At 38.8% G+C, this 7,752-nt stretch overlaps 1 annotated feature.

Annotated features, from left to right (window-relative positions):
- Positions 454-573: a silencer, noted in NCBI's record as "silent region_5648". NCBI's record gives its function as "represses an Ori minimal core promoter by ATAC-STARR-seq in GM12878 lymphoblastoid cells {active_cell/tissue: GM12878}" and the evidence as "EXISTENCE:reporter gene assay evidence [ECO:0000049][PMID:35858748]".

Genomic DNA, 7,752 nt, shown 5'->3' with positions numbered 1-7,752 from the left:
GAGATGAGAGAAAACCAAAGTTCAAAGAAAGCTTGGGAACTTGACTCCTAGAAGTAGACTATCCAGTGATAGACATTTAAGCATTGTTGAGAACCTCTCTGACTTTACTGAAGGCAGTGCACCAAATTTTACCAACTCCTAAGTGACTGGTATTTGAATGTAAAAGACATATACATTGGTTTATTTTGGACATGGCAAAAGAATGAAGTGTTTTACGGGCAAAAAAAAAAAAAAAAAAAGCTATTCAATCTCAAGAGAAAGTAGAATAGAGTCCAAAAGTGAAAATTCTTGAAGAACAGAAATGGTCTTAATTATTGACAAATATACATTTTAATGGATTCATGATGAATATTAATCCTGGTTTTTAAAATGAAGTACCATTTATTAAAATTTAGTTTTTGAGATAAAATACAAAATATAAAACTTATGTCTAAAAATAAAGCTCTCTAACCTGTAATTTGAGAGCTACCTAATCTTAATATGAGTTTATTTGACAAGCTCTGTTTTCCTTGTGACAGAATGTCTCTTTTCAGTTTGAGTCATCATTGCACATTTATGAAATCTGACAATGCTGTTTTTACACAGCCTTAGACATTTGGGTCAAGGTGATGAGTGAGACATTGCACAGGTGAAGTAATTTGACAGATTGGATGTGGGTGTTGAGGAAGGGTTACCTGGAGGTGGGAGAGGGTTACAGAAATGGGGGTAAGATGGAGCACCAAAGATGAATTTCATTGTCTTTATCATTTTGCCTGCCATTTGAGTTCTCAAGTCCCTGAGGCTGTTGAATCCAGTTCTTTATTCATCTTTGAAATTAGCCTGGAAAGGGACTTTTCTTGTAGTTTAGTCCAGGGTTTGGAAATTGGGGCCACAAGTTTGCTTGATTGTAAGTTCTGTATTTCTCTTCCAAGTGCATCATCTATTTTAGTTGGTAATGACAGTTATTTTGGAGAATGTAATTTCTTATTTTTTATTTGTTAGGTTTTTTTTCCCATTTTTATTGACAAAATATCAAGGGGCTAGATTTCTGTGCTGCTTGGGCCTGAGAGCTTAAGGAAGCCACTCCATAAGAGGGACACAGGAGGCTTTTCTTCTTGGCTCTCACAGAGAATGCATTACTGGCAGCCTAATGCATATAGCATGGGGAAGACCACAGCTGTGAATGCAATTAATGGCCCCTGCATTTGCAAAAAAACACAGATCCATAAACTGCAATGATGTCTTTTTAAATGTGTGCCATATTTAGGGTCAAAAAAATAATTTACAAGCAGGGTGGGATTGTGCTTAAAGCAGAAGGGCATGTTTTTAATGTGCCATGGTATGGGGTGGAGCATGAAAATGCCCAGTTCTACCATAAAATATTAAGATCTGCTGGTGTTATGGAACTTTTATAGTTTCTTCTTTGGCCTCTCCAACATCCCTGTCTTCTGTCCAGATCTGGACCCAGATTCTGGCCAGCTTCTTAAACCAGAGAACTAAATGGTTCCATGTGTTACCAGCACCCAATTCTTAGAAAAGGAAAAAACCAAAGTTAAATGATTTGCTTTTTCCATCAGCTTGCCATGTTCTTGGAATTTTTAGGTGCATTATCCATCAGACTGTTTACTACTATGCTTCTCCTTCATAATATTGACAGTGTCTTTTTAGGATGCCTTTGATCAGTGGGCTCTCAAACTTTAGTGTGCGTCAGAATAACCTTGTTGAATACAGATTGCTGGGCCTCACCCCCATAATTTCTGATTCAGTATGTGTGGGGTGGGGTCTTATAATTTGCTTTTCTAACAAGTTCTCAGGTGGTACTATGCTGCTGGTTTGGAGGCCAAACTTTGAGAAACACTGCTTTAGATATATAAGTTTCATAGATATTAGTTCAAATCTTCTAACCGGATATTTTTATTACCCCTGAGTAGCCCTTAAAATGCCTACTTCTTCTTTTTTTTTTTTTTTCTGAGTCAAAGTCTCACTCTGTCGCCCAGGCTAGAGTGCAGTGGCGTGATCTTGGCTCACTGCAACCTCCACCTCCCAGGTTCAAGCCATTCTCCTGCCTCAGCCTCCTGAGTAGCTGGGACTACAGGCGCATGATACCGCACCTGGCTAATATTTGTATTTTTAGTAGGGATGGGGTTTTACCATGTTGGCCAGGCTGGTCTCGAACTCTTGACCTCAAGTGATCCACCTGCCTTGGCCTCCAAAGTGCTGGGATTACAGGCATGAGCCATAGTGCCCGGCCAAAATGCCTACTGTTAATAAGGGTTTTCAAGAGGTACAAAACTATAAATTAGAGGAACTCTAATCAGTTCATAAGCAGCCAGAACCTAGCAACATTCCACTGGAAGGACTTTAAGAGGCTGTGTTGACCACGTGGCATCTGCTACACCTGGGGAGTTTGTTGGTGTCCTGGAAAGAGTTGGAGCTGCCAGGGTTAGAGATGTTAGAGCTGAATGTCTCATCACACTCAGATGACTTTTGATCATATCCCACAGGCTGGATCCTCAAATTTCAACCACTGTTGATGAGATGTGACCCCCATAGTTGAGACCATATTTTGTTTAATTGGCATGGTAGACCTGTTGTAACGAGAAGCTTTTTAATATGAATAAAACAAAAGAGTCTTTGAGTTTCTTTCTGTTTAAATAACAGGTGCCTGGAATTGTTTTGTTTGTTTTCAGTAACCCTGCAGAACTGAAATATTTGTCAATCATTTTCATGTGGTCTGAGGGACAACAAGTAGATCAGACACTAAGCTTGAGCCTCAATCTCTTTTTTTTTTTTTTTTTTACTTGAGATGGAGTCTCACTCTGTCACCCAGACTGGAGTGCAGGGGCGCGATCTTGGCTCACTGCAAACCCTGCCTCCTTGGTTCAAGAGATTCTCCTGCCTCAGCCTCCCAAGTAGCTGGGATGACAGGCACCCACCACCATTCCCCCCTAATTTTTTTGTATTTTTAGTAGAGACAGTTTCACCATGTTGGCCAGCTGGTCTCAAACTCCTGACCTCATGATCCACCCGCCTCGGCCTCTCAAAGTGCTGGGATTACAGGCATGAGCCACAGCACCCACCTGAGCCTCAATCTCTTAACATCTGGATGGCAGTTAGGAAAGGAAGCTTGAAATTTTTAGTACAGACCCCTAGATGCAAAGAGGAAAAGTGCCTATTGATCTGAAAATCCCTAGAAATGACTAGCAAAAATAACCACCTCCAGTTGCTCTCTTTTTTTTTACCCTGGCTTATTTTTTCTATAGTACTTTTTACATTGGATCTTATTTCCTTATTTATTTGCTGATTTATTAAATTTGCTTATTTATTAAACCATCTGTCACCATTGAATGTACATGCAATGATGGCAGGGACTTTTTCTTGTTCACTATTGCGTTCCCAGTGCCATGTAATTGTCACTTGATGAATATTTGATGAACGAATGAATGAATCTATCTTGTTCAGCAACTTATCTCATTACCAAATTATCAACACACCAATAGATTTGGCACTTTCCTTTAAAAAAGCAGATTACCTAACTGTTATAGATTTGAAGGACTACATTCTATCAGCAGCATGTAGGAATAACAGTGGCATTCTGAAACAATTGTGTAGGTTAACAAGTTGGGGCACTCTGGCAGAGAATGGGCAAAGGCAGCACATCGAATACTTTGAGTTATTGACCTCCTTATAATTATCGTCAAGACTTTAAGATTAATAAAACATCTTAGCTTGTTCTGCTTAATAATACCTCTTCCTTAGCCTGTATAGTTTCTTGATTTAATGCTCCTATTTTTGGGTTAAATCCTCTCGAATAATTGCCTAGTAGCCAGTATTATTGGCCATTAGAACTTTTAACTGAGGATCTCCTCTTCATGGGTGCAGCCTGGGTTGAGAGTACTGTGCCATGCATTTGCTTAGGATTTACTCAGAAGGGCAGAGGGCATTGTTCATGAGTTACCTGTGAGAATTTTAAAACCTGCAATCTCTGCTTCCCAAGTTCAAGCGATTCTCCTGCCTTAGCCTCCCGAGTAGCTGGGACTACAGGTGCCTGCCACCACGTCCGGCTAATTTTTGTATTTTTAGTAGAGATGGGGTTTCACTATATTGGCCAGGCTGGTCTTGAACTCCTGACCTTGTGATCCGCCCACCTTGGCCTCCCAAAGTGCTGGGATTACAGGCATGAGCCACTGTGCCTGGCCAAAATGTTGTGTTTCTTATTTTGATGATAATTTTAAAAATGTGATGCAGGTATATTCTAGGTCATCAGGCTGACCACTTCACAACTAAGTTCTGCCATCATATTTCATTGCCCGTGTATGCATCTGTGTTTATGACAGTTGTGTTGGGGGCCATGCATTTTTATGAAACTCATGCATTTATGAGAAAAAAACAGAGACAGCTTGCTGTGCAATGACACACTTGTGGCAAGTGAAGATCAGAACACAGAGTACAGAGACCCAATATGAAGGAGCTTGGATCTGATCTTGTAGATAGATCTTCTGATGAAAAACCATTGAAGAGACTCAACTAAGGTGGAGGTAGTGAAGATGGAGTGGAGAAGAAGAAATATTTATGATGCTCAATCAACATGACTTGGTGATTGTTTATCTCCTGAGGATGGAAGGTTAGGAGGTGAGGGTTAGAGGAAGTAGTCAGTGATGACTCCCAGTGTTTCTCAAGATGAGCAATGAAGAGATTTCCCCTAAAGAAAATAAAGTTCTGGTGTTAACTTGAATTAATTATATAAAAGCATTACTTAACTATGTATATACACAAAATTAGGTATATATTTCTTTTATTAGTCTTATAAAAGCAAAAAAACTTACAAATTAAATATAAAAACTATGAAACCTGTTAATTCTAAATTAACAACATTCATTTAATGTGACAAATGTTTTGGTAGAACTGAATCACTATTTGCAAACTAAATATCTAAATATAACATAGACTGCTATAGTAGAGGATATTTTGATTTAGGATGGAGGAAAATGGTGGAAGAATTATCAATACACAGCAGCTCATGAACAGACTAAACCCTCTTAAAAGAAGAGGCCCTGCATTTCTCAAATTTGAGTGACTTGTTTTAAGACTCAGCTTGAGGCTTACTTCATTTGAAAGTCTTCTGTGACTAAACCGAGCATGATAGATGCTCCTCTTTTGGGTCTGTGCAGAGTTCTGTCATTTAATTTATCTCACAACAATATGATTCATAGGTATTTGTCTATCCTTGAAAACAATTTTTTAAATTTTCTCAAAGACTGGGACAGTGTCTAGCATACAGCAGAAGTAAGTAAATGTTGATTGGTTGAGGGAAAGGTTCATACGTACATTCTGGGCTTAAAAAAAATAATTGATTATGCTAAATAAAAAAGCCATGGGGATATATTAGTCAGAATTCAGTCTGAAGAGAAGAGAGATTATGAGTGTTATGAGATAAGTGATTCGTATGGGAATTAGATCTTACACAATTGGGAAGGAGCTGGGAAGTGAAGGCCCTGTAGGGGAATAAGGTGATAGAAGAGGTCATCAGCCAGGATAGGAGAAACCACATCTGTTGATTGGGAACCCCTTGGGAAGGTCTGCAGGAAGCTGTTTGGCCACCAGCTGTGTGTCTGGTTGTAGGTATGGGCTGCTGTTGGCCAACAAGGTCAGTGGTTGGGAAGAAGAGCTATACAGAGGAACTGTTCTAGAACACAGGAGACCAAAGACCAGCTGGAGCCTGCTGGGCACCTTTGCATATTTCTGTCACTGTGTCTGATGACAGACTTTCAGAACATAATGGCTATTGTTTCACTTCTGTCTTCTAAATCTCACACAAGATCCTCTTGGCCAATTAAGCCCACAGCCATAGAAGGGAGAAGATTTTGGGAAACATGATTTCAGTTTGACCGAGTCAACACAGAACAAACCACCACAGATTTCTGCTTCTGTCAGTGTGGCTCTTTAGGACAGTCTCTCAGGCACGTCTGGTCTCATAAGAGGTAGTAAGATCTCCAAGGACCCTCTCCCAGCAAATACAACAACCAGCAGAGCCGTGGGCAATGAAAGTGTGAGATGAGCTTTCCCTGAGAGTAGATGTCAATAGTCATGCTGCTACCAAGATATTGGTGGCCAGGTAAGAAAACTGAGCTTGGAACATCCAATGTGAGCTTCGACTGTGCCAAGGGGCTGATGTCATCCCAGGGTAGTACTGCCTTTTGCTGCTGGTAAAAGAAGAAGCAAAAAACAAATTGTCTCTGGGGGAAATCTTCAACAATTTAGTTTGCAGATTAAGCAATCATTTCACAATCAAAGTTCACCATGCACATTGCAATGCAAGCCAAGCTGAGTGAGATCAATAGAAAAAAAAAAAACAGATTTAGACCCTTCCCCATAGACTTCAGTTATTAGAGTTGTCAGTTGCACAATATAGGGAAGCTATGTTAAAAATATTTAAAGGGGAGGGTGTGGTGGATCATGCCTGTAATCTCTTTTGGAGATGGAGGCAAGAGGATCGCTGGAGGCTGGGAATTTGAGACCACACTAGATAACATATTGAGAGCCCCATCTCTACAAAAAATAAGAAAAAAGTAGCCAGGTATGGTGGGGCACGCCTGTTGCCCTACCTACCTGGGAGGCTGAAGCAAGAGGCTCTCTTGAGCCCAGGAGTTGGAGATTGCAGCGAGCTATGATCTCACCACTGCACTCTAGTCTGGGCAACAGAGTGAGACTCTGTCTCTAAGAAAAAAAAAAACTTAAAGAAATAATGGACACAATCAAAAAGATAAGTAAGTAACAAAAAAACCAGCAGGAATAAATAGGTAGACTTGGAAATAAAAGGGAATTTCTGAAAATGTAAAATACAATTGTTAAAAATTTAAGGACTCAATGAATGGGTTTGACAGCAGATTTAATACAGCCATAATCACTCCAGGAAAGGCAGAAAAGGAATTGGAAAACATAAAAAAGTAGATATGTGAGGAAATCTAATATATATTTAACCGAGTCCCAAAAAGTGAGACTAGAGAGAAAATTGTAGGCAATATTTAAAGAGATATGGGCTTTAAATTTTCCAGAACTAATCTATTCCATAGATCCTAGGAAAAACCTGTTTTGAAAAAAAAGGAGAGCTGTTGTAAAATATGCAGACTATAGTTAATAACAATGCATTATATTCTTGAAAATTGCTAAGTATAGATTTGAAGTGTTCTCATCACAAAGCAATGATATGTATGTGAGGTAATATATATATTAATTAGCTCGATTTAGCTATTCCACAATGTGTACCTATTTCAAAGCATGCTGTACATGATAAATATATACAATTTTTATTTCTCAATTAAAACAAATAAATAAAAATTTAGAAAAAATAAATAGAAAGCCTGAATTGTCCTAAGACTATTTAAAAAAAATCAAACTATCAGTGATGTTTTCCCACTAAGAAAACTCTATGTCTTGGATGTTTTACAGGTAGTTCTACCAAATTTCTAAGGAGCATATTATTCCAAATGTAATAATTCTTTGAGAGGATAGAAAACTCATTCTATGAGGTCACTGCTACCTTGATACCAAATCCAGGCAACGTCAGTATGAAAATGGGTTATTACAGTCACTCTTTCTCATTAACACATACACAGACTGAATCTATCAGTTGATAATGAACACCCAAAGGTCTCTAATACAAAATTTCAATGAAATGGCTAAAGATAAGTAAAAAAAAAAGGGAATAAAATTTACTAGCATTAAAATCAGGAAACACTGCCAGGTATATTCTGTGTACTTCTCCCTATATGA

The sequence above is a fragment of the Homo sapiens genome, chromosome 14 (genome assembly GCF_000001405.40).
Source record: "Homo sapiens chromosome 14, GRCh38.p14 Primary Assembly".
NCBI classification, from domain to species: Eukaryota; Metazoa; Chordata; class Mammalia; order Primates; family Hominidae; genus Homo; species Homo sapiens.
Note: the sequence above shows the minus strand (reverse complement) of the source record. Positions and strands in the feature narration are given on the sequence as shown.